The sequence below is a fragment of the Homo sapiens genome, chromosome 3 (genome assembly GCF_000001405.40).
Source record: "Homo sapiens chromosome 3, GRCh38.p14 Primary Assembly".
In the NCBI taxonomy this organism is placed as follows: domain Eukaryota; kingdom Metazoa; phylum Chordata; class Mammalia; order Primates; family Hominidae; genus Homo; species Homo sapiens.
In genome coordinates, this window is record NC_000003.12 from 172,837,255 (window position 1) to 172,864,811 (window position 27,557).

Here is a 27,557-nt window from a genome sequence, read left to right on the forward strand (position 1 = left end):
CACTTGAGTCAGTGGACTGAGTATAGGAGATCCACCCTCAATGTGTGTAGGCTAAGAGCCCCGATAGAACAAAAAGAGGAAAAGATTTAGTCTCTTTCTCTCAGAGCTGGTACACACTCTTCTGCCCTTGGTCATCAGAGCTCCAGGCTTTGGACTGCAAGACCTACACCAGTACCCCCTTCTCCCTCATCACCACTTCCTGGGTTTCAGACCTTTGACCTTAGACTGCGAATTACAGCATCAGCTTCCGTGATTCTAAAGCTATAGGACTTGGACTGGACTGAACCACACTATAGAAATCCCAGGGTCTCCAGTTTGCAGACTGCCAATTCCCCTAAGTCTCTCTCTTTCTCTGTCTCTCTCTCTCTCTTTCCCTCTCTCTCCTCTCTCTCTAGGTATTCATCCATCCCTCCCTCCATTCATCCTATTGGTCACCTCTCTAGAGAACCCTGTCTAATCCACTGTGTCACCACTGTTTTCTCCTACATATTGAACCACAACTCAGTGTATTTCACAAAATCTTTTGCCCACCCCTTACCTGCAGATGTTCCCTAAATGTCCATCTTTCCTCTTCATTTCTTTGCATCTTACACATTTACACCATGTATATATATGTATGTAAAACTGCCACAGGGCATCGTCCCCTTGATTTAAAAGCACCTCACACTTGCGTGTTCAAAGACCCACATACCCTATAAAAGACTCGTATCTAGGATATAGAAAGAACTCCTACAAATCCAAGAGACAAACACCCTTCCTTCATTTCTTCAATACCACTCTCCTTTAAAAAAATATTATTATTATTATTTTTATGGATACAGGGTCTCACTATGTTGCCAAGGTTGGTGTTGAACTCCTGGGTTCAAGCAACGCCTCCTGCCTCGGCCTCCCAAAGTGCTAGGATTACAGGCGTGAGCTGCTGTGCCTGGCTATTTTGTTTCTGTATGGCTTTCTGTGAATGGTATCCCTATCCACTCCACCACCTGAGTCAGATACCTGAGAATTCTCCTAGGCATAGGCTTATCTTTCTTCCTTATTCCTCATAGCCAAGGTGTTGATCCCACGTCCTTGAGATCTTGTGAATGAATAATCCATTCCCTTGTCTCCATTTTCATTACCATGCCTTATTTCATGTACACATGACTTTCTCCTGGATTTATCTGGTAATCTTCATTCTTAAACTAGGTTCCATAAAGGCAGAATCTGGAACAAAGACTTGTGTTAGGTTTATTTAGAGGTTGTTTATCATGAGGAGTTGAAGTGAAGAAACAGAGAAGGAAGGAATGCCAACACGGTTTTGCTATATCGGGTTAGCCACTACCACAACCCACTGTTGCTGAGTCCTGTGGGAACTTTTCATCTGGGGTGTGAAAGGGAGAAGCATTGATCACTCAGCTTCCAGCCCAGTTGCTCAAGAACGGTCCAATAATAGTAAGTCCCTGGCAATTCCAGATTGTACTTGCATGAATGCCCAGAGGTATTGATACTCCAAAGCCTCAGAAATTCCTGGGACAGGAGTGAGAAGTGGTGGCACATCCTCCAGCAGTGGCTCCAGTAGGAAGAGGTGGGGCTGAGAGGGTTTAAAGTGGCCCATAAGACATGTCTGGTTCACCTTTCAACTGATCTTCCTGTACTCCTTCTGCTAGCCACTTTTTATAGCCAGAATAATCTTAAAACAAAATGACTATATTATTTTTCTGCTTGAAGTGTTTTGATGTCCCTTTTAGAGACCTTCAGAAAAATATTCTCTCCTTAGCACATCATAGAAGCCCTCCCTTTATTATCTGGCCCTCTTCTACCTCCCTAAAAGTATGACTTCTCCATATAAACCCTTCCCAGCTCTTTATCTGTGCTGTACCCTCTACCTAGAGTTACCTTCCTCTCCTTTTGTGCTTGCCTATTTTCTCCGTATTTGCAAGCCTTACTTGATGCTCTACTCTTCTTCCCAGGCTGAGTTAGTTCCCTCCTGTATGTTCCAAGAGCACCCTGTGTTTATCATCATCATAGAATTTATTACATTCCATTACATTTTTGTCTGATTTATCTGTTAGACTACATTGTCAACTCCTAATACAGAACCTGACAAATAGTAGGTGATCAATAACTGTTGACATTGTTTCACTATCTATTGCAAAGCTGTATACAGGGAAAGTGAACCAAGTTTATCACTAAAATGAAGAATAACCACCTTCAATGTATGCTTAAATATCATTGGGGTTTTAGTCCCTCCAGAAGGTGTTAATCTAACATCTTCCTGTAAGATGCGCCTTAGGAAGAATACAGATTATAATCATTGTATGGAGGAGTGTTGGTCAAAGAGATGAAAAAGGCGTCGGCTCTGAGAGACCAGAAGGGTCGAAGAGCTGTCGCATTCCTACAGGTGGTAATAACCCTTCACTGATCACCTGCCTTCAACAAGTGTGAAAACTGACAACCCATGTAGCCATCTCTTAGAGAGAGTGTCTTAGCCTTCCACACAAGTTGCCCCCACAAGCTGTAGCCGGGAAGCAGACACATGAGCCATATGAAATTGGGCCAAGGGCCAGTAGAATTTTAGTGCAGTTTGAAACTGTGACATACGGCACTAATATTATATTTCCCCAAGGTTGGAGTCTCGCTGCCAAGAGGTGTGGCATTGCTATCACCCTGGAAAGTGCAGCAAAGACTTGGGAAAATATCGTAGGCTGAGAGATTACTTTTCACTTCCAACTAAAGCTGGCAGACTGAATTCTCTTGTAAAAGAATAGATTCAGCTTGATTTGTTTGGCTTTGGGGATTTTGGCATTCATAGAATTGCCAAATGTATGATAACTTTATTTTAAAAAGAATAATTGTGTAATTATTTATTTAATTAGAAAAAATAATAAATGCTTGTAATTATTTCTGGTTTAAGTGTTTCTAACTTGAAATACAAAACACTACTTTTTCTTCAGCTGTCAGCTTTAGACGTCACTTATTAGCTGAAGTTCTGAGAAGCTGAAAAGTGTTTAGTCTATTTAAGCTATGTCTCCCCTCCCTTCCTCTCCTCCCACCTCCCAACATACAATAATTGTTTTTTTTTAGATTTAAAAGTGATTTTTAGATTTGAATATTAATGGTGTTAGATAATATTAAACATTTGAGTGCTTACTGTACGCCAGGCACAGTTCTAAACACTTCACATACAATAAATTCATTTTCTCCTCATATCAGAGAATTATTATCCTCATTTTGAGACATGGAAACTGAGGCACAGAGCAGTTATGAAACTGACTTGTTCAAGGTCATCAGTTAAGTGGTAGAACTGGGATGGTTGTATTATCTGTGCAGTCAAGAGTATGCTTTGCTGCTCCCCATAGAGGAGGCTGTTAGAGCCCCTAGCCTTGCCTGCACTTCACCTTTCCCCTTTCACCCTGTGTCTCCTGATAACAATTACATTCTGCTATGTAACGTTTTTAAGTTTCCCAGGTTTGGTTTGTAGGTTAATTCAAAAGCTGAAAATTAGTATACGATATTTACATTATTACGACTAAGTGAATATTGTTCATTATAGAGACAATTAATGCTTTAGGATTATAAATTCGATGTTTCAATTTTGGTACCAGTCAAAGCCAAATGATCCTTGCATCCAGTTCTAATTAATTTTTATTTCTTATTAATTCTCTCAATTGCTCAAAATCATGTCACATTTTAGTTTCCATGGTTTTTGGGCATGACTTTCTCGTACAGTTCTTTACCCTGCTATTTCTTATTACCTTCCTCCTTTCTCCTGTTTTGATAACCCTCCCCCTCCCCCTCCTGGAGTGTTGTGTAGTAGAATTTTAATTAACCCCTTCCTTTCAGCTCCCTTTGCCCCGATTTGTTCCTCTGACCCTGAACTTGGAGCCTGTCTGCAATCAATGTTAACCTCCTTCCCTCCCTCCCTCCTTCCTTTCCTTCCTTCCTTCCTTCCTTCCTTCCTTCCTTCCTTCCTTCCTTCGTTCTTTCCTTCCTTCCCTCCTTTCTGAATTCTGGGTCCTTGCCTTCTCGTTTGGTTTCATCTTTCAATAGGCTTCCATCTTCTTTCCATCTCTTAGAAATGTGTTTAAACCTCTTGCCTACTGATGTATCCCCCTTCTGTCCACTTCTACCGGATTATTTCTTCACACTTTCTTGGAATTATTAGATAATCATTTGTGCTTAAACTGCAGTTTGAATTAGAAACCCTATTTGGTCCACATCCTAAATAGTCAAAGTGATATGTGTATGTATATACGTATGTGTGTGTGTATATATATATAATGTATGTATGTGTGTATATATATATGTATATAATCTTAAATGTGTACAAATAGCATTGTCAGGTATAAACAGCATTTGCTTCTTTAAAATTAAATGGCTTACACATAGATGAATATTTACTTAGAAATACCTAAACATTAAAGAAAATGATTTCAGAACCTTATTCGCCACCTCCTACCCAACCCAGGCTAATAACACAGAGAAAACTTTGTTATCAGATCCACCATTATTAATTGGAGTCCTCTATCAACTTAATCACACTTTTAGCACAATAAAAATGGATGTTCATATTGATGTCTTTAAGGCAAAGCAAGACCCCAAAGCATCTTCAGAATCACTAGAACAAAGTTAAATTATGTTCAAGATTAATTTTAGTGCAAATTATTTTAAGCTAGGTCTATAGGCATTTGTGATAAATGTATTTATTGCCCTGCCACAGTACAGAAAGAATTTGAGATGGCTTACATAAATACATACTACACAAAAAGATAAATAAGAACAATGAAGAAAAGAGTAGGAATGGTAGGATGAAGCTGGGATTGAGATTGGGACCCAAAGTTACTTCAGAGTGACCGGTGCATTTGTTAGGAATGTACCACACATTTTATTCCGAGCATCTAACGGCTGACCAAAACCATTTCCACAGCCAGCAGGTCAAGTTCATTAATCCACATTGCACACAGCATAAAAACAGTTTGCTGTGGAGAACTATTGCTGGAAAAAGACTGGGGCGAATTACTTCCTGTGGGTTCTAGTAAAGCACATATGTGAAATGTAGAGAATGATGTACTTCGTAACTTCTTTACAGTAAAGATAGCAATATGATGCACGTAGGAGTTTTAGTAATATGAACGAGCAGAACTCCATAGGGCAGGATTATAAGCAACTTTATTCTCCCACTTCCCACACCACAATCGCTAACCATTTAATGCCATTAGATTTTCCCCACCCTTTTTATGAAAGTTAATCTCCCAGTTTTCTTACTCTTTTTTAGTTTGTTTGTTTTTGGTTTTTTTGTTTCGAGGCAGAGTTTCGCTCTTTTTGCCCAGGCTGGAGTGCAATGGCACGATCTCAGCTCATCACAACCTCTGCGTCCCGGGTTCAAGCAACTCTTCTGCCTCAGCCTCCTGAGTAGCTGGGATTACAGGTGCCCGCCACCATGCCCGGCTAATTTTTTTTGTATTTTTTATAGAGATGGGGTTTCGCTGTATTGGCCAGGTTGGTCTCGAACTCCTGACCTCAGGTAATCTGCCTGCCTCGGCCTCCCAAAGTGCTGGGATTACAGGTTTGAGCCACCGTGGCCAGCTCCAGTTTTCTTATTCAAAAACAAACAAACAAAAAAACAAAAAACAAAAGAAAACAAAAACCACTGTTTCCATTCAATTTCATTCACTGGGATAGTCTCCTTGTAGCCATCATTCTGTTCAGTCCACTGAGATCATCAACACTGTACTTCATGTGAAGTGAAACTTTTCTCCTCCCCCAGGTTGAGTTGGAAGCCTGTGGTGGTAAAGAAGGCGTCTTGCTTCTTTCCAGGTCTTACCATTTTCTCTCTCTCCTTCCTTGCTACACCCTTACCTTCCACCGCCATGTCTCAGTTTCCCCTGACTTGGGGAAGACAGAAGAAGTCAGGGACAGGAAATACCTTACTTGCCTGGTAGTGCCATGCCTCTCTACTGGTGCATGTGTAGGGAGAGCCTTCTCCAACCTCGCCTCTTTCTGGGTTCTCCTATCTCAGGGGGTAAATCCTCCAGGGTATGTCAGACACCAGTGCCCTACACATTGCAGGAAACCCTTATCAACCTCTATAAATGTTCTCCTGAAAGCCTTTTTCTTTAAGCTTGAGGTAAAAGGGAAACATCTTTCTTCCTCCTCAGTGGATGAAGGAGGGAAAATGTGAGAGCACATTCTCCTAATTTTCTTTCTTGGCCTTTTCTACAAAGGCCTCTTCTATAAGGGCCTCTTATATCCTTTATGTGGTGTTGAGCTAAAGGTTAAAAAATTAGTTTTCTGACACCTCCTTTGCCTTCTTAAATGATGCAAAAAGAGTCCCATTTAATATCTTATTCGATCTTTACTGAAATCTTATAAGTGTATAGGAAATATTGTTGACGAGCTTTTCTGCTTTGAGGCTCAAAACAATGTAGGCATGAAATACTGTGTTAGTCTAGGTAGATGGCATTTCAATCTAGCAATGTATCTATATTCTCCATTTAAACTATAAAATTGATACCTATTCATTTTAGATAGACTAGAAACATTGAGGAACCAAAAGAAAAATTATTAAAATGATTCTGTCCCAACTTTCAGGGATGGTTACTATTAACCTTGATTTATGTCCTTTCATATTCTCCTTATACTGTAATGGACATCCCTTGCCATCTGAATCTCACTATCCAAATATTTGTTTTAAGAGCTTGTAAAATTTTTTTCTTGAATTCACTATCTGAAAGGAAAACTTGTTATAAGAAATCTACATTGTCACAGCAGTAAGACTGTTTGATTTGTGCACAAATTCTGGGGAGAAAATAGAGTTGCTGCGGTAGATTCTCAGCTCTTCTCTTGACAACACTGAATCTTGTGCTTGCAGTTTCAACATGTAGTGCATTATCGTATCAGATCCCCACATTATTATATGAAAATGTCTTCTAAGAGTGCTGAAAAGCCTGTGAAGAAGTACGAGCCTGTGAATTGCTGAACGCTATTGACAAAGGTGATTCAACTGCACAGCACATTTTTAATGTTGATGGAATTGATCTGCTTTGGAAATGTATGCCATCTTGTATGTTCACTTCAGAAAAGAAGACAAAAATGCCAGAACATAAAGCATCCAAAGTAGTCTAACACTACTTTTAAGTGAATGTGAAGTTAAGCTAAAACCTCTGCTTGTGTATCACTTCAAAAGCCCCAGTGCCTTTTAGCGACTAAGGGAGAGTGAATTGCCTGCTGTGTAATATTCAGCTCGTAAAGATAGGATGACCAAGGCAGCTTTCAGTGATTACATGAGGAGCTGTCTCTATTCATCAGAGTACACACGGATGGAAAACTTGCAAACAAGGCTCCTTTGATAATAGACTAAGCTCCCAGATGTCCTTCTAGTGTTGACAGTTATGGAGATAATATCGCAATGGACTTTTTGCCTTCCAGCATGATGCCATTATCATAGCCTCTGGACCTGAATCACTACAGCCTTCAAGGCATATTGTTTGCAGATGGTGATGCAGTATGTGGCACTTATATGCTGATATATGGTGTGATGATGCAGGCAACACTGTTTCAGCACAGAATTTATAGAAGAGTTTTGACATTCAGAAGGTCTTCACATTTATCAACTGGGTTTGGCATGTATCATAACAAACAATGAATGGACTATGGGAGAAACTAGTACTGCAATATGTTGCTGACTTCCAAGGTTTCAGGGAAGTGATTAACGCAAAGCAAAAATCCTAAATCTTGTGAAGAGGGCTAGATTTAGTGAAGTGGATGGTAAAAAGACCTTAACGTATGACCACAGAACTTGTTCAACTAGTTGCTCATTCTACAGCCCAGGAAGGGAAAGAAGAGGAGCAATAAATGCTCATTGCTGGGTCTTTAGGAAACGTGAAATTATGCAGATAAAATACTTGTTTTTGCAAAGTTTGTTTTGTTTTGTTTTGGTCCATAACTTTATCTGCCATTACAGATAATGGTTCATAGCCATGCACCTCTAGTGTCTCAAGATCCAAAAAGAGATGAGCGTACATAAGATCCTTGGACTTGAAAACAGGTGAACCACAGGCATTTGACGCTCCACTCACTCTCTGCCAGCTCATTCCCACTCGGCTTCACATCGACTGAGCAGTATTAACATCTACCTGCCTGCAACCTCCATCTCCCTCTCTCTAAACCTCTCTTTATTTGGTTAGTAATCATTTTGTAAAATTTCCATGTTTGCTTATTTTATTTAACTAAATGTTATTTGTATTTATGACATAACTTTAAAACACACAGTAGCTTTTATTTTATATTAAAAATTATGCCTGCTATAGTACATAAGGAAAACTAATTTCTATTAGATATTCTGTTGTATTGTTGCATATTACATAAAAACATACCCACTAAAAAGCCCATTAAGTATGAAATAATTATGTAGTTGATATTTTGTACAGTATATTTATGCAAAAATCCTTGGAAGTGTTACTATGCAGGTGCATAGGAAGGTTTAAACAGGTTCACGCCTGTAATCCCAGCACTTTGGGAGGCCAAGGTGAGCAGATCACGAGGTCAAGAGATGGAGGCCATCCTGGACAACATGTTGAAACCCTGTCTCTACTAAAAATAAAAATTTTTGTAAAAATACAAAAATTAGCTGGGCGTGGTGGCGCATGCCTGTAGTCCCAGCTACTCAGGAGGCTGAAGCAGGAGAATCGCTTGAACATGGGAGAATTGCTTGAACCAGGGAGGCGGAAGTTGCAGTGAACCAAGATTGAGCCACTGTACTCCAGCCTGGTGATAGAGCAAGACTCTGTCTTAAAAAAAAAAGAAAAAAGAAATTATCTGATCTCCTGTGTGGGCCAACAAAGTGCAAGCCGAACAAATCACACCTATGTTCCACATGTGGCTTGTTTTCAACTTCTGACCTTTCCAAGGGCAGTCAATGTGTGAATGTTCCAGTGACCTCTGACCTATGAGACAGCTGTCACAAAAGCTTGCCCAGTCAGTGATGATGGCAGTTGTCTTAGTCTGTTTTCACACTGCTATAAAGAACTGCCTGAGACTGGGCAATTTATGAAGAAAAGAGGTTTAATTGACTCACAGTTTCTGAGGCTTAACAGGAAGCGTGTCTGAGAGGCCTCAGAAACTTACTATAATGTGAGAAGGGAGAAGGGGAAGCAAGCACGTCTTACCATGGTGGAGCAGGAAAGAGAGAGCACGAGCAAAGGGGAAGTGCCACACACTTTCAAACAACCAGATCTCGTGAGAACTCACTATCACAAGAATAGCAAGACAGAAGTCTGCCTCCATGATTCAATCACCTCCCACCAGGCCCCTCCCCTGATATGTGGGGATTACAAAGAGATGAGATTTGGGTGGGAATGCAGAGCCAAACTGTATCAGCAATTAATACAAAATATCATATTCCCTTGGGAATTTATATAATATATACAAGGATTTAGTCAGTGATAAGGGGAGCAGAAGATAGAATACCCTCATGGAAAAGGTTGACAGGAGGAAAATAAAGCAGTAGATGCTACGAGTAAGAGAAAATTATGATTATTGTAAGCTAAATCATACAGCACAGGGGAGGATATAGTTGGTTAGTAGGTAGAGTAGGAGTAATTAGGTAGAGCTGAGTCATGATGCAGTCAGGATGAACAAATTCAGAGTGATGACAGGAGAACAGATACTCTGGTTTTTTAAGCTGCTGGGTTTTGAATAGCTCTCGAATTCTCTGAATTTTAGCCTTTGGGAGGTCTTCATGGATGGTTGCACTTGCACTTCCTTTGGGAATTGTATTTGGTTCCATGAAGCATGATCATGTAGATAAGACTCTCAACTTCTTTTTGTGCCATTTATAGTTCCAATAGGTACTGACTTACTGGAGACAAATTGAATAAGTCTCTCTTTTTATAACCCAAAACATTTAACAGTATTTATGTACCATAATATATTTAATCAATTCCTCATTGCTGAACATTAAGATCATTTCAAACTTCTAATATGCATACAATTTTTGTCATGAAATTCTTTGTACATTTATTATAGTGTACTTGATGTTCCTCAGAATAAATTCCTCTGGGTGAAATTCCTCAATCAAAGAATATATGGGCATTCTAAAACTTTCTATATGTATTGCCAAGTTGCCATCTAAAAAGATTTTATAGATTTACACTCTTTACTGGCAATCTACAAGAGTGCCAGCTCCTCACTCCTTATGAGTACTGGATATCATTTTTTATTTTTACTTACCAATATTTTGAGTGAAAAATGCTGACCTGCTTTATTCCTGATATGTTTTATTGCTCCTCTAATTGAACATAATTTCTTGGACATTAATTGTCCATTTGCATTTCTTTTGTGAATTATTCTGGTATGTTCTTTGCTTATTTTCCCAAGGGTATAACTTATTTGTTTATTAACAGTAGTGGTATTATTAATTTAGAGCTATGTGCCATTCATTATGCTAAAAACTCTATAAACTTCATTTCATTTAATCCTCACAAAAACCTTTGAGGTAATTATTATTATTCACAGATTAGAGAAATGCAAACTAGGTTTAGAGAATGCTATGGTCTGAATGTGTCCCCAAAATTCATATGTTGAAACTTAATCACCAATGTAATAGTCTTAAGAGGTGGGGACTTCAGGAAGTTATTAAATTATGAAGGTGGAGTGATGGGATTTGTGCTTTTATAAAAGGTGCAAAGGAGCTGCCTCTCTCTCTCTTATCCCTTCCATCCCTCCCACCATGTGAGGGCACAGCATCCTCTTGTGCAGCAACAGGGCACCATCAGGTGGATGCAGGAGGATCCGGTAATGGGGCACCATCTTGGAAGCAGAGAGCAGCCACATGCCATCGCCATGATTTTGAGCTTTACAGTCTCCAGAACTGTGAGAAATAGATTTCTGTTCTTTCTAAATTACCCAGTCTAAGATATTTTGTTATAGCAGCCCAAACAGACTAAGACAGAGATTTAACATGATCAAGCAGCAAGTAGCCTGATGTATACCCAGGTTTACTGAATTCAGATCATGAGGTTAATGTGCTTTCACAGTTGCCAAGCAGAGTCACTGCTTATGGTTGCGAAGATTATGCTCCTGTCTTATCTAGAAGCACAATATTTTTAAAACAACAAATACAGACACATGCCGATGTTGTGAATTACATAATTTAAAATGTTGGAATTAACTTGAATTAAGATGAGACATGTCATTTCTGGTGAATACTTCATATATTAGAGAAAACATATACTTAAAAATCAAAAGATCTGGATTCAAATCCCAGCTCTGCTATTTACTGGCTGGGATATCCTTGGTAAGTTTCTTCTGCATCTTTACTTGTAAGATAAGGATAATAATGCTTTCTTTTTTTTTTTTTTTTTTGGTTGTTATCAAGACTAAATAAAATTTCATATGCAAAGATGGTATCCCCAAAATGTTAATTAATTCCATTCCTTCATGTGTATAATAAGCATGTCAATACCTTCAAATGGTGACTAACCTACAGAAGCCTCATTATTTGGGATTGTAACCATGATATACCAGAAAAATAAATATCAGGAGCCACAAAAGAGCAATAGGTTCTTGTACCATATATTTTCATTTTTATTAAAATTCTCACTCAAGTTACAGTGGTACAACCTCTAATAATTTGCCTGACTAGCCAAATGTAATTATTTTTTCCTAAGAAGTAAAGCTCTTCTCAAATCTTTCATCCTTACCAAGCACCTAGGGCAAAATACATGGAGTGGGCCAGAGGACTCATTTTACAGATGAGGAAGTTATTTGTTCTCTCTAAGCCTCAATATTTCCTCCTGGGAATAAAAGAGCTAATAGAACGTATGTTTCCCCACTTTTCTTTCTCCAAGGGAAATAGTTGGATGATTAATGAGATAATGAATGTGAGGAGAACTCCCTGGAGGAAAGACATTTCACAAACATGAAGTGAAGACTCTGGCTGACTCACTGATTTCAGCAGCTCAGAGGTATGGATAAATCTATTGGTATGAATCCTAGCTACTTAATCTACCTACCTCATGCACACCTTAAAAGCTGGATTTTGCAGCATTTCTTAAGTGTCAAACTGATCCTACTTATAGCAAAATTCATCATCCAGTAATTAACACCAAGTGTTTATGAAATTAAATGATTCATCTCTCAATGTTTTGCAGGGTGGGAGGCAGAGAAGTACGCAGGACAAACTTGGAATTGAATCACTTGTATAATGTAGCCAGGAGCTGCTTTGCTTGGGTTTTCATAGTCTTTCAGAATAAAAAGTCCTATCCCAGAACCACTCCCTTTAAAATAAATTGATGTTTTCAGTGTCTGAAGCTTTTCTAGGAGAATGGAAATGAACTGGTAAAATTTTAAAAAGCCAAAGGCAAAAGAGAAAAACTAACAGCTGGAAGAATTAAATGAATACTATATCCAGCTGTTTTCTAAGGACCTAAAGTATGTCATGGATGTCAAGATGTTACTGTAGATGTGGCTGGAAGCTCAGTATTATGCCTCTGACTCTGTGGGTTGAAATGGAAAACAATTCCAGAAGAACAAATAAAGAAATGATTTTTTCCAGCCCAACTCTTATGTCAAATGAGAGCCATAGCACTTTTGTTAGATTAGAAAAGAAGTCAAGAGATGCATGGCAGTTGATACCCATTTAAGATTGTTGTGTATTCTTGATAAATTGGCTTATAAAATATTCCTCCTCGGCATGTACTCTAGGGCATGGCTTCCTTTCCTTTCCTTATTGTTGTAGATTTAAAAATTAGTTTATTAGGTGCCATCCAGCCTGGGCTTTTAAATAAATGGTGCTGGACAAATGGGTGGCCATTTGAAAGGAGATAAAAATTAGATCCGTATCTCACACCATACACAAGAATCACTCAAGAAGGGATAAGGATTTAAATGTGAATAAAGAAAGCATATGAGAATGCGAAGAAAATGTGGGTAAATTCCTTTTTTACCTTGTAGAAGGTACAGGGAAAGCCTCTCTAATCATTACTCAAAATCCAAGGTCAATAAAAGTAAAGATTGAGAAATCTGACTACATAAAAAATTTAAAAAAAAACTTTCAAGACTAAAAAGCACACATCCTAAACAACACCAAAACAGCTGACAAACCAGGAGAAAATATTCAAGACATACATACAGAGATTGAGAAATGGAGAGAAGAAGGACCTAGACCTGTTAGAGAAAAACCATGAACAGACACACAAATATATAGCCCTCAAATATATGAAAAACTTATTCAAATTCACTTATAATTAGAGATAAATACTCAGGTACAATTTCTCACTATCAGACTGGCAAAAATTAAATAGCATGTCCACACATTCAGCTAGTGAGGCTGTGAGGGCACAGATACTAGCTCACAAATTGCTGGTAAGAAGGTTTCACTCGTGAAACGCAAGTTGTTCATACCTAACAAAACTACATATGCACTTACTCTTTGACCCAGAAATCCCACTGCTAGGATCCACCGTGACTATATACTTCCCCAAATACAAAAATGTATATACCAAAGTTATTTATTGTATCATTGTTTGTAACTGAGAAATATTGGAAGCAACTTAAATTTCAGCACTTCGGAGGAGTGGTTGAAGAAATTCTAGCACACCTACACAATGGAGTACTATGCTCCTGTAAAACAGAATGAGGAAGATCTCCATGAGCTGATACGGAATGATTTCCAGGACATACTACTCCGTGAGACGGAAAAGCACAAAAGGGTATATATAACATGTTACCTTTCATGTGAGAAAGAACTAGATATAAAAGCATAAGAAAATACACATGCATCTGCACATGTGTGCGAAATAAATTCAGGAAAGATAAATGAGAAACTAGAGACTGGTTACCTACAGAAGTTGGTGGGAAAAATATGAGAAGAAGTGAATATGGGCACATTAGTAGAGAGGAAGAGGAAGAAACATGTTTCTGAGTATATTTTTAATAAAGTTTTGACTCTTAGACCCATAGTAATGTTTCACATACATGCTTTTCCCCTAATAAATAGTTACAATCAACCAGGAAGTGGGATAAACCCAAAATGGAATGTAATCAGTAACAAATGAACCTAATGTGTGACAAATTAATTCATAATCACACTGAAGTGAATGTGTGAAAATAATACGTTGACTGGATACTGTGAGACTAAAGAGAAAAATAACTATATACAAATACTGTTATCTGGAAATTTGCTTCTTATATGTATAGATTAGTAACTGTTTAACTACCTTATATGTACACTATTAAATAAGTGAATGTATTGTAGATAATGAGAGCCAGGTTTCTCACTGCTGGAGAAAGAAGTCACAGTTAAATGAAGGGGAAGCATGGAATGAATGTCATGATGTTGGATTGGTATCAGAGGTATCGATATGTACTCATGATTTTATATATATATATATATATATACACACACACACACATATATGTACATATATGTGCACACACAAATAGATGTAGAAATAAGTATAGATGTGTGTATGTGTGGGTTAGTATTCATATATATATTTCTTAGCTTTGTCCACTGAGAGGGCCTGAGAGTAATGATACCTGAGTAGCCATGAGCATACCTACTGGCAGAATCTTAGTTTATAAATACTATTCTCCAAGTAAAAAAAAAAGAAAGCAGAGCTCCTTGAAAAAGTGGTTGATTCTAGAGTTGGGAAAGAGAATATAAAAGATGAGACTGGAACATCGTGTGGTACCAGAAAATAAGAAAGCGCTCAAAAAAAAAAAGAACGAGGTCATGTCCTAAGGACATAGGAGCTCCTGATGGCCAAACATGTAACAATTTGAGCAATCAAATATCTAATGATAATATAGGATTATAACCAATAAAATAAATAAATATCCTGAATTCCACACTTATAAATAATCCAAATAAATAAATGTATAGGGAGAAGGGACAGCTCTTCCGTATAGAAAAATTCCAATTAACAAATGTAGAAGACATGAAGGACATACAAAGTTATTACTAGGTAAACACAGCAGTAAGATCCACTAAATAAGAGGGATGCTAAAATCATTGAGCAAAAGTTTGAAAATATTACCACAATCTCAAACTATCTTCATTAATTTCAAGGAGAATAATGAGAAGTTTAGAGAGAAAAAAACCTTGTAGATACTACATTAGCCAATGATCAAAGCTAACACCACTAGTGTCAAGGCATGATTCATTTACCCTCTGATATATACTGAGAAAGAGAAAACATTACTTATGTAGTATTCTTTCCCAAAAGGAATAATGTTGAAAACATGAGACAAATTCATATTGAGGAACATTCTAAAACATAACTGACCAGTACTCTGTCAAGAACATTAAAGACAAGAAAAACATGAGGGGCTGCCACAGATTACGTGGAGAAGAATGAGGAAGCAGTGTGGGATCCTTGATTCGATCCTGGAGCAGGAATTGATGGAATTGGAATAAGGTCTGTATTTGTTAGAAGCAAGGAACTAGGTCCAGCTCACACTCAACGGCGGGAGGGGGGGTGGTGGGGGTTGCACAAGGGATTTACTGGGGACTCTCTCAGAGGCTGCCTATGGCAAGCAGCAAACAGCAAAGGGAGAGCAAGAGGAAGAGCAGGGTTGGAAGTCAGGGAGGGGTAATCACTTCCATTTTGGACATATTGTGTATAAAATGTTGATGAATCTTTAGGTGGAGATGTCTGTCTGGAAGTTGGATGTTGAACCTGAGGCTCAAGTACCAGATCTGAACAAGAGGTGAAGATTTAGGTATCTTTAGCCTGCCAGTGGCAATTAATGCCGTAGAGATAGTAGTGAACATCACTCAAAGAAAATGTGCAGGCTGAAGTGAGGAGTACCAATATTTAAGATACATGCAGATAAAGAAAAGTCCAAAAAAGAGATACAAATGGGATGACCAGAGAGGCAGAGGGATAATGAAGAGTGAAAACCTCAGAAACCAAGAATGAGAGGGTTTCCAGGAGAGGGGAGAAGTGTCAACAACCACAGGGATGTTTGTTAAGATGAGTATTGGGAAATAGGCAATGAATTGCACTTTTATTTTCTTAGTCTCATTCTTCCATCTCACAGAATGAATTTGAAATTAAGAGATCTTTGGGGACCTTGGCAGAACTGGGTTCGGTGGACTGGTGATAATGGAATGCAGGTGCTTTGGTTGAAGACTGAACATGAACTGAAAAAGGGGAGACACAGAATGAGTTTAGTCTACCATCTTGAGAAGGCTAGAAGGAAGTTATACACCGCCTCTCATCTGAGTGTAGTGTTACACTCGTGGCTATTTGAGAATGAGGAAAAATTCCCTTGCTAGCAACCACTATCCAATAAAAAGGCTGAATTTTAAAACGTCTTCTGTTAGCTCTCTATATGTAAAAGATGATTCTAAATTTTTTGAGAATTTTTTGAGCATGTACTTGTTCCTATGCTCTTTAAAAATGGTAAAATATTTCCACAGTTGCTGACCATCTAAGATGCATTTTCTATCACCAGTCTCATAAATATTCAGCTATTGTACCTTTCCCCAAACAGCCAGCGATTTATTCATTACATTGAATTGCAATCTCACCCTTCCTTTCCGCTCCTTTGTAAAGAGATAGGCAATATTTCGGCAGTTTTTGTAACGCTTCTGTCTTGAGGGAATGTAAATATAAGCATAATTGATTTTCTGAACTTGATTTTTTTTCTATGTTCCAGTGCTTTATGCATTATAGGTAGGATGACTGACAAATCAGCCCTGATTGGTAATTAGGATGCAGAATATATTAAAAGCATAGCACATATATCCAGTTTGCTCTCAGTGCAAACCCTGGAAATGTGAAGCTTCTCAACGCTCTAGTGCTTGTTGTCTAATTACCTGCTCTTTTGCTTTGACTCAGCCATTCAGGAACTACAGTAGCTTAGTCTGGCAGTTTAGGGGTGATTGCTAGCTAAATGCTGGAATTCACTTTGCCCAACTTTGACTCATCTTTCCTTCCTCTTCCCCCTCTGAAATGACATTCTTCCTCAAAAAGCATTTCTTCCCTTCACGTGTTGGCTGGATAATGAAGGCTTGTGTTCTCCCCCTTGTTTGAAGGCTAAATTCTCAAGGTAATTTTACTTCAAGGATTGGTGAAATAGGAATTCTGTCCCTTCCTTTTTCTAACTCCTGAAATAAATAGTTCTTTTTGTGTCAGTGTCAGTAATGGCAAGGCAAGATCCCTGGGGCTCCCATTCTTCCCTGCATCACCTCAGCAATCAGCCCATGGCCCTGAAAGGAGAGGCCATCTTTGCCTTTGTGTTGGAAATGAGAGTTCACTATTCACACCAGGAAATCTGTGGACACCTGGAAACTGAAAAGGAAAAATTGATTTTCTTTCACCTTCCCACGAATCTGAATGTCACTTCAGAAGCTCCCAAGATTTAATTGATCTGAGACAACTTCACAGCAACTCCACCCCCTGTTGAATGATTAAGAATATTAATAAGGTTGAGGGCGCTGGCAACACTGAGAGGTAGGTATCTGCTTCTCCTCGCAGGGCCTCGTTATGAAGCATTTGGATAGAACTTCATTCTTACAAGTGCTTTAACCGAATTTCTCTTTGTGTGTTTGAAGGTGGCTTGGAAGCATCATTGAAGACTGAACTATATAAAACTGCCAATATTTGTGTCTTTTTTGAACTGTAATGAAGGCAGTTTTATAAGATTCAGATTAATATTAGCTACTGCCAGAGAAATGGAAGTTTGAAGCTTGTATTGATGAAATGAATTCTGATTCCCCATCAAGAGTCTTTGTCCTTATAACTAATGAATTAGTAAAATAATTTATTTTTTCATTAACAGAACATTTGTTGTATATCTATTCTTCAGTGCTTAATTACCCAGTAGGCAGATCAGGCATGCATGTGGGGACCCATAAAATAAGGCATTGTGTTTTCTGTAATTTAGTTCAATATCATTCAGCATAGAAAGTATGACACATATGTGTGTGTTTAGTTAGTTTAACTTACCTCCAGGGGCACCTTGCTAATATTTGAAGAACCCTAATCAGAAATACACACTCTAGGGGAGATTAGTTAGCATTTGAAAGACTCTAATCAGGTAGCTACTCTAAATGTTTAACTCTCAGCAATCACAATTAGCACTAGAGGGTTTATTAACCAGCCTGAGGGATGCTAGTAATAATTTTAAATTAGTGAAATAAGTACTATTCAAGATAAGTATATTGGTTAGAAATAGGGCACAAGCACCACTGCCTTAGCATGAACAGAATACAAGAATCTAGGGTGCTTCTGACCCAGGTCTGTTTCCCATTAGAAGATTGTCTGAATTCTGCTACAAGGCTACAATCGCGTTTGCATTGAGTCTTTCATGAAAACGATTGAATTTGTTTTCAGAAAAAAAGCATTCTGACAGCAGTGCAGAGGATGCACTGGGGTGTTCAGGAGCTGGAGAGAGAGTGAAGATAGTGAGACCAGTTAGGAGGCTCTGATAGTAGCCCAATGAAGAAGCTCTGAACTAAAGTTGTGGCAGTGTGAGTGCATGGAGTAGAGAGGATAGATTGGAAAGGTTTACAAGAGAAAAAGAAATGGATTTGATGAATAACTGGACATGGAAGAAGGGTATGTCGGTGAAAAGAAAGACATAAAGACAGCTTCCAGGGTTCTGATTTTCACAGTTCCATTTACCAAAATAGAAAACCAAAGATAAAAAAGAAGTTCAGGGCCAGTGAAAAATCAGCTACTTTTGAATAAGTTAATGTGAGATGTCTGCAGGACACCAAGTGGAGTGATCCAACAGGTAGATATTTATACACACATGTACAGAAGTACATATCTGCTATCTGGGATTCAGGAAGGAGACCTGGGCTGGAAATAGATATCTAATGTGTTTAATAAACATGTATTAGTCATTTACTATACTCCAGACCAATATTAGTGGTGATCCTTGCCTTCATGATGATTTCAGTATTTGGCAGACACCAAGTAAGGGGGACATTTGAAGTCTTGAGAATGAGGTCACCCAGGGAAAATGTAGAGTTAAAAGTGCAGAAGCAGGATCCTTTGGACAATTAATATTTAAGATGCAAGAGAAAAAAGGATGAATGATATAAATGGTATATGAATTGAAAACAAGAAGGATTGGCCAAATAAATAGGAGGAAAATGAGAAGAGAATGGTACTAAGGAAGTCAAGAAATATAAAAGTTTCATCTTTTATATGAAAGATGAGGCCGGGCGCAGTGGCTCCCGCCCATAATCCCAGCACTTTGGGAAGCTGAAGCGGGTGAATCACAAGGTCAGGAGATCGAGACCAGCCTGGCCAATATGGTGAAACCCTGTCTCTACTAAAAATACCAAAAAAATTAGCTGGGCATGGTGGCACATGCCTGTAATCCCAGCTACTTGGGAGGCTGAGGCAGGAGAATTGCTTGAACCTGGGAGGAGGAGATTGCAGTGAGCCAAGATCGTGCCACTGCACTCCAGCCTGGGCAACAGAGCGAGACTCGGTCTCAAAAAGAAAGATGAGAGAATGGTGATTGGTATCAAATATTGCAGAGACCAACTAGAAAAAGGAATTAAAACATCCATTTAATATGACTCTTTGGAGGTGCATGAATGGGACCATTTTCTTGTAGTGAGTTGAAGGCAGAGGATAAAGGAGACACTAAGTAATAGAGTGGAAATGAATCTTTCAAAAGCTTGTCCCAGGAAGGAGAGCAAAAACTATTGGACAGGTGGTTTTGGAGAGACAGAGTTGGCCAGAGCTCTGCTTTCTGTTCTGTATGTTAGTGGGACAGAACTCTATGGAAGTGAGTGTCAAGGAAATGAAGCAGGGCAAAGTAGTCCAAAAATGAAATGCTAAAGTATTAAAGATACATTAAAATAAATTATTATTTCTAAATCTTGTTCATTTTAAATGAAACAAATGCCTTGGTAGCTATATATTTTCAAATGCAACTTGAGAAGTGTTGGCATCTTTAACACAGGCTTATCATGTAAGCATCAAGCAGACAGAAGGTGTCTTGTGAACATGCTGGCTGCAGTGGCGGGGAGAGGCGCCATGACCAGCGAGGCCCTTTTATCTCTACTAGAACTCTGACAGGCCACTTTATATGGGACATGGTTCCAGGAATGACATTCCATTACAAGTGAGTCAGCATTTCTGGGACTGTCACAGCTTTACTGGAAAGTACAACCTTATCTTCCTGAACAATTACTTTCAGGAAATATGATGGAAAAAAATTTCAAAGCTCTGACCTCTCCAAATTTGCTCTTTATTTTTTCAAATTTCCTGTAGAGTTGCTCATAGTTTAAGAATTGTTTTCATTAGAAAATACATGTGGAGTCTGTTGGCAATTAAAGGCAGCCAAATCCTGCCCCAAAAGCAAAGGTGAGACATTGCCTAGGCTAGAGCCAAAAACATAGCTTTTGAGGACAGATTGGCTTGGGCATAAGTTCCAACCCTGTAATTCATTAGCTGTGTGACCTTGGAGATGAATTACTTAGCCTTTCTGAGACTCAATTTCTACAGCCGTATAATCAGAGAAAATAAAAACAACAGATATGTTGTGAAATAATATACATGAAATGTTTTGGAAGAAGTAGTTTGTTCAATAGCCAATAGTTTCTTTTTTTTTTTTTTTTTTTTTGTATATTGATTAGCTTGACTTGATTGGTTAAATTTGAGTAACATTTGTTCAGCACCCATGATGAGCAAAGTACTCTGTCCACATACACTGCAAAAAGGTAAGAAATAGCCAGTATAAATGACGGTAAGTAAGTTCTTCATTTACACCAATAGCTCAAGAAAGAATGGAGTGAAACTGATGCAGGAGGGATTTAAAGTGAAGCAGAATACAATTTCAAACCACAGTGAAATGCCATCAGGCCACTATAAAAAGAGTCAGTAAGAAATCTCTAGTGGAGATTTAAAAGAAAAGGATAGTAATTGTTATTTTGAAATGATTTAAGCATCATCACCATGGTTTCATGTTATCTTTATTATTTTATATTCTCAGAGAGGCTTGGACCATTTCCATGTATTGAAGCACCCAGTGTATATACAAATGGAGAAATGTCAAAATAGGATTAAAAACTGTGCTGTATTAAAAAATATGTGTGTGTTTGTATATGTATATATATGATCAATTATTTCTTTTAACACCAAAATACAGTGTACTATAAATAAACTTTTCACAAGATAGTAACAAGATTGATTTTAAAAACCCTATTTCAAAGTGTACTATAGGCACTATGAAGAACATGTTGTTTCAGTCTAGTCACTGTGTCTTTGGGAAGACTTTACAAACCTATGTTTGATGGGACTACACTGGCCCTTTGTGTATGTGAGGTCTGAGCCACAGTGGGGTGGCCACAGACTCGTGGTGATGGACTCCGACCAGTACCTCTGAAAGCACAACCCTTGGCATAACGTAGATGCTCAAGAAAACTTTGTTGAATTAATCAGTGAATTCCTATGTCCTGATTACCACTTACGAAGTGTGCTGAAGATCTTTAAAACTGGTGTGCTGCTAGGTTTGGGTAACAGTTTAAGATTCCATTGTTACAAAGGGAAAGAACACATTGCCTTTGTGGGGCTTCTGCATTCTTTACATGGGTGACTGCCTTAGAGAGGGCTCGGTGCAGAGAAGAAGAGGGGAAGTGGAACATGATGAGGGACATGGACCAAGGAGCTCTCTCAGGCTCAGTTTGCTCGGGTTGTTACTGTTCAGAGTGCTTGAGGATTTTGGGGTTTTTATAATGCATAAATGACACAGCATCAACCCTGTAATATATTAATAGGAGAAGTTAATTCTATCAGCAGCAGCATTAGAGCATTTCTAATTTCCCTAGAAATTAAGAGAAATCATCTGTTTTTAAACAAAGGCTTTTTTTTCTAATCTATAATGCCTGTTTTAAATAATAATTCAAAAGTGTGCTAACACCAGAGATATGACCGCCATCTTTAGAGTTTGTGTATCTAGAGTAGATTATGTCAACTAACCTCATGCAAGATGCTTCCTGTCATTGCCAGACCACCTTCTCATCTAACTGTGACTCACTACTGACAGAGAAAGCAGGGTAAAGGATTTAAATCCTCCTCAAGTTGATGCAGCTTAGCAGGCTCAGCTTTGAAGCCCTCTGAGTCCGGAGGGCCTGGTTTTCCCATTCTACATGGAATAATGCTTCTGTTCATTCCCCCAAAGTAGGTAATTAATTCTTGGTAGTGTGGTGGAGAGAAGGTGAAGGCAAGTTGCTTTAGTTTTGAGTCTTTCAAAGACTCTGGTCTCCTTTACCCATGGGATCTTTAAGTATTCTGGTGCACAAGAGGTAGAAATAGTAGTAATGATAATAATAGTAATAATAATAATAATAAACTCATTATAGTCTTGTATTTAGGAATGACTCATCTACAAAAACCTGTGGATTTTTAAAAGTATGACTTATCTACACATCCTCCCTAAAAGTGAAAGAAAGATTCACTTCACTGAGGAAATTCAATTTAATGTACATACATTGAATGTTCAGTGTGTGCTTGATTCTATGTTAGGCATTTTGTCTGGAAGAATATAAAGATGATTCTAGATTATGGTCTTTTTAAGCTCAAAATCTAACCATGGAGGCCGGCAGCACCTAAGTAAAGGAAGCCTTGCATGTCTCAGTGCCAAAGCCCTGGCCCCATCATCTTGCTGACACTTCCCGTCTCCTTTCTCTCCTCCCTTCCCTCACTCACTTCAACTACCATTGACTGGGTGCCTGTTTTGTGTTAGGCCAGAGGCTAAGTGCTAGGGGTATGGACATGAATAAAATTCTGGAAATGTTCTCCAGAAGTGCACAATCTCACAGTGTCTTTCTCAAAAGCACCTAGGCCTCTTGCAAGCACCTGCGCATACTTCAAGGTAGTAAGAGGCCCAGATGCTTTGAGAAAGACACTAGGTGTGCATGTGTGTGGCCTGGAGCGCAGACACATCGGCCTCCACTCTTCCTCTGACTCTCTTCCCAGACACTTTCAGTGAGAAGAAAGTGGAGAGTAGGGCTCAGAAGAGATCTTCCCAAAATTCTTGATATGTCAAAAACCTTAACTTCCCTTTCTTTTGCTTAATAATGTTATGGGCTGGACTGTTCCCCACTGACCCATCCCCCTCAATTCATATGTTAAAGTCCTAGCCCTCAGTACCTCAGAATGTGGCTGCATTTGGAGCTAGGGTCTTTAAAGAGATAATTAAATGAGATCATATGGGTGGGCCTTAATCCAATATGACTTGGTCCTTTTAAGAACAGGAAGAGAGGCCGGGTGCGGTGGCTCACACCTGTAATCCCAGCACTTTGGGAGGCCAAGGCAGGCGGATCACCTGAGGTCAGGAGTTCAAGACCAGCCTGGCCAACATGGCGAAACCCCATCTCTACTAAAAAATACAAAAATTAGCCAGGGGTGGTGGCAGGTGCCTGTAATACCAGCTACTGAGGCAGGGAGATTGCTTGAACCCACGAGGCAGAGGTTGCAGTGAGCCGAGATCGCACCACTGGACTCCAGCCTGGGTAAGAGAGCGAGACTCCATCTAAAAAAAAAGAAAGAAGAGGAAGAGACACCAGGAGCACACGTAGGGAAGACCATGTGAGAACACAGGGAGAAGGCAGCCATCTACAAGCCAAGGAGAGAGGTCTCAGCAGAAACCAACCCTGCTGACACCTTGATCTCAGACTTTCAGCCTCCAAAGTTGAGAGAAAATAAATTTCAGTTGTTTGAGCCACCCAGCCATGATGCTTTGTTATGGCAGCCCTGGCTAACTAAGATAACTCATTCATGCACTACCCTGCACAAGTGAGAGTAGCTAGACTTTTCTACTTCATCTTTTTGAGGAAGCTCCGAGGTTTGAAAAGCTAAGGTAGCTAAAGACTAAAGATGTTTAGTTTTCCAAAAGTTGGGAAATGTGGGATCATCTTGAGCAGTTTGGTTGCTGAGGGACTTACAAGAGGATGAATGCCAGGAATCAGGCACCTTAAAGTCAGCACAGCTGATGAAAGATTATTTAGAGATTTGTGGAATGTAAGAATCTAAGTATATCAATTATGGGTGGGTGAAAGATGTTTATATTTACTTGAACAACATAGTAGGGACATACAACTATCTACTAAATCAAGTTTAAATTCTGTAACCTAGATTTTGAGATCCTTTGTTGTTGATCTTTGATGGCATTCTAATTTGATTTCTTACTACTCCCCAGTTGACCTTCTATGCTTTGGCTGAATGAACTGCCCCCTGAATGTATTTTCTCACCTCAGTGTGTTTGTTCATGCCAGAGGGAAGTCTCTTTGAGGATGCCTTTCTCCACCCGAATCCCTATCTTCCTATTTATTCAAATCCAATCTATCCTTTATGCCCCATACCTCTGCTTTCATGAAATACTAATCTTTCCCAGCATGGAGCCACCTCCCTTTCTTTTGAAAGTCCATTGCACCTAATTTGAATCTCTTTCAAGCTTGCATGACAATTTTCTTTTCATGTTCTCTCCTTTAATAGGCCATATGCACGTCAAGCCCAGGGTCTACATTCTGGATCATTTTTGCATCCCTTACAATGCCTTGTACATAGTAGAAACGCAATAAATATTTGATCAATAAATACATATTGTCATAAACTGAAATATCTGGATAATAGATATTTTTGGCCATTATATTAAATTCTCAATTGTTTCAGTGGCTCTCTCTCATCTTTCTTCTAGATCTGATTCTTATCTTATAGCATCTTTTCTCATCAATTTCTAATTTCTAGTTACCCAGACTCCCTAGAGCTATTTCTGACCATTTCTTCTTCTTCTTGACTTCATAACTGGTAATTTCTATATCTTATTAATTTTTTACTTAATAAGATCTGTTGTTGTCTAGATTTTAGTTGTCTGGGGTTTTCCAACAGCCTGATTGTTTGCCTGTAGGCTTGCCTTCTCTAACATCCCTTCCCACCACCCCACAAAGCCAGACTCATGTATTGATATGGTTTAGATTTTTGTCCCTGCCCAAATCTCTTGTTGAATTGTAATCCCTAATGTTAGAGGTGGGGCTTGGTGGGAGGTGATTGGATCATGGGGCAGAGTTCTCATGAATGGTTTAGCACCATTCTCCCTTGGTACTACATAGTGAGTGAGTTCTCGTAAGACCTAGGTGTTTAAAAGTGTGTGGCACCTCCCACCCCCGCTTCCTCCTGCTTCCACCACATGAGGTGCTCGCTCTCCCTTTCCCTTCCGCCATGATTGTAAGTTTCCTGAGGCCTCCCCAAAAGCCAAGCAGATGCCAGCATCATGCTTTCTGTATACCCTGTAGAATCATGAGCTAATTAAGCCTTTTTCTTTATAAATTACCCAGTCTCAGGTATTTCTTTATGGCAATTAGAGAATGGACTAATACACGTATTTAACAAGTAGTAGTAATCATAGACAATATTTATTGAGTACTTCGGAAGCACTGTATTTATATATTGCATCTCATTTTACCTTCTGAATAAACCTAGGAGGTAGTGTTTGGATTGAATGCTTGTGTCCACCCCCAAATTTATATGGTGAAGCCCTAACCCCCAATCTGACTATATTTGGAAATGGGGCTTTTGTGGAAGTAACTAAGGTCAAATCAGGTCATGAGCATGGGACCCTGATCTGATAGGATTAGTGTCCTTATAAAAAGAGACACCAGAGACATGGATTTCTTTCTCCGTGTGCACACACCAAGGAAAGGCCACATGGGGAAGCAATGAGAAGGCTGTCATTTGCAAGTCAGGAAGAGAGCCCTCATCAGAAATGACTAGACTGGCACCTTGGTCTTGGACTTCTAGCCTCCAGAAATGCAAGAAAACCATAAACATCCAGTCTATGGTATTTTGTTATGGCAACTTAAGCACACTAAAGTGAGTTAAGTTACATTATTATCCCACTTAATGAATGAGGATAATTAGGTTCAGAGGAGCTTGATGACTTGTTCAAAGTCTCACAGCTTATAGATTGTAGAGCTAGAATACTAATTGTTGTCTGCCCAATTCTAGATTCTTATTTACTTAAATATTTTGAGACAGGGTCTTTCTCTGTCACCCAGGCTAGAATGCAGTGGTGTGATCATAGCTCACTGCAGCCTTGACCTCCTGGGCTCAAGCAATTCTCTCATCTCAGCCTCTTGAGTAGCTGGGACTACAGGCATGTGCCACTGTGCCCGGCTAATTAAAAAAAAAAATTTGTAGAGAGGGCGTCTTACTATGTTATCCAATCTAGTCTCAGACTCCTGGGCTCAAGCGATCCTCCTGCCTTGGCTTCCCAGAGTGTTGGGATTACAGGAATGAGCCACCATGTCTGGCCCCTCTTTTTAACCACCATGCTATATTCTTCATTCTTTCATATTATTACTCCCAAAGGTGTGCTGGAAAACTGGCTTTCTGAAACAAACAAAAAGAAGCCTGATTTGTAGGGTTTGTTGATTTATATGATATAAATACTCCCACATTTTAAGGTACCCATAGTTTAACAAGCAGTTCACATTTCAAGTTACCAATGGTTTAACAACTAGTTCTAAATATTTATTTACTTATTTATTTGAGACAGGGTCTCACTTTGTTGTCCAGACTGGAGTATAGTGGCACAGTTGTGTCTCACTGTAGCCTGGAACTCCTGGGCTGAAGGCTCAGCCTCTGGAGTAGCTAGGAGCTAGGACTATAGGTGCATGCCACCATGCCAAGTTATTTTTATTTTATTATTTTTTCTTTTTGGAGAGAGGGAGTCCTGCTATGCTGACTAGGCTGGTCCCAAACTCCTGGCCTCTAGCGATCTGTTTGCCTTGGCCTCCCAAAGTGCTGGGATTACAGGTGTGAGCCACCATCCCCAGCCTGGTTTTGAATATTTAATAATTGGCTCTTGTAAGCCAGGACAAGCTGCCTCTAGCCCACCACTGGTTGCTCCTTTGCTCTAGAACCTATCAAGGGAAAAAAGAGTCTAATAAGAGTAAAAGCTCCATGAAAGCAGGAACAATGCTTGTCTTATTAATTAGTGTAGTGGGCCTTCCATAAGTATTTATTGAACATTTATTAGCTACTTAGGAGATTTTATGTGTATTACTTCAATTAGCTAATGTTCTGTGCAGGTAAGCATTATTATCTTCATTCTACAGATTTTAAAAAGTGAGATTAAGTAGAGTAAGTCCCTTGCCATCTTTCCATTCCTATCCTGGGGCAAGGATTTTGCCTCCCCTGTAGTGTCAATAAGCTGAGTTTTAAGTAAGAGCTCAATAAATGCTTGATGGATGATTGTTTACTTCATCCAGAGAATTCTGACTCCCAAGGCTGTTACATGCACAGCCATTCCTGTTAAATGGTTAAATCCTGTTTTACATAGGTGATATGTGTGTGTATGTGTGTGTGATGAGATTATTATATGTTTGTGTGCATGTACCTGAAGTAAAAGCATTGGGAAGTGAGGAAAATAATAATAAAAAAAGCGTTTTTTTTTTTCTTAAATCCACTCAAAATAGTAAATCCAGAAACAAAACAAGAGGTGTGTTTCTGCTCCACTCTGAGGGTTACGCACATACTGTTCAATGCCTGCGAGGAGCCAGATCCAGGGGCCAACCTCCCTTTGAGGAGAGAATAAAAGAT

The 27,557-nt window shown here is 39.1% G+C and overlaps 1 long non-coding RNA gene across 1 annotated transcript, besides 4 other annotated features; it reads left to right on the forward strand.

Moving 5' to 3' along the window:
* The first annotated feature begins 11,834 nt into the window (after positions 1-11,834).
* LOC107986052 (uncharacterized) lies at positions 11,835-15,417 on the forward strand. Its single transcript, XR_001740575.1, has 3 exons — positions 11,835-11,945; positions 13,544-13,691; positions 15,210-15,417. It is a non-coding gene; the product is annotated as an uncharacterized LOC107986052 (long non-coding RNA).
* Positions 16,612-17,120: an enhancer, noted in NCBI's record as "OCT4-NANOG hESC enhancer chr3:172571656-172572164 (GRCh37/hg19 assembly coordinates)". NCBI's record gives its function as "activates a minimal SCP1, AML or CMV promoter by ChIP-STARR-seq in naive H9 embryonic stem cells {active_cell/tissue: H9 hESC(naive)}" and the evidence as "EXISTENCE:reporter gene assay evidence [ECO:0000049][PMID:30033119]".
* Positions 16,745-17,039: a silencer, noted in NCBI's record as "tiled region #706; HepG2 Repressive non-DNase unmatched - State 24:Quies". NCBI's record gives its function as "represses a minimal TATA promoter and a strong SV40 promoter by Sharpr-MPRA in HepG2 cells {active_cell/tissue: HepG2}" and the evidence as "EXISTENCE:reporter gene assay evidence [ECO:0000049][PMID:27701403]".
* Positions 17,121-17,628: an enhancer, noted in NCBI's record as "OCT4-NANOG hESC enhancer chr3:172572165-172572672 (GRCh37/hg19 assembly coordinates)". NCBI's record gives its function as "activates a minimal SCP1, AML or CMV promoter by ChIP-STARR-seq in naive H9 embryonic stem cells {active_cell/tissue: H9 hESC(naive)}" and the evidence as "EXISTENCE:reporter gene assay evidence [ECO:0000049][PMID:30033119]".
* Positions 24,005-24,595: an enhancer, noted in NCBI's record as "NANOG hESC enhancer chr3:172579049-172579639 (GRCh37/hg19 assembly coordinates)". NCBI's record gives its function as "activates a minimal SCP1, AML or CMV promoter by ChIP-STARR-seq in naive H9 embryonic stem cells {active_cell/tissue: H9 hESC(naive)}" and the evidence as "EXISTENCE:reporter gene assay evidence [ECO:0000049][PMID:30033119]".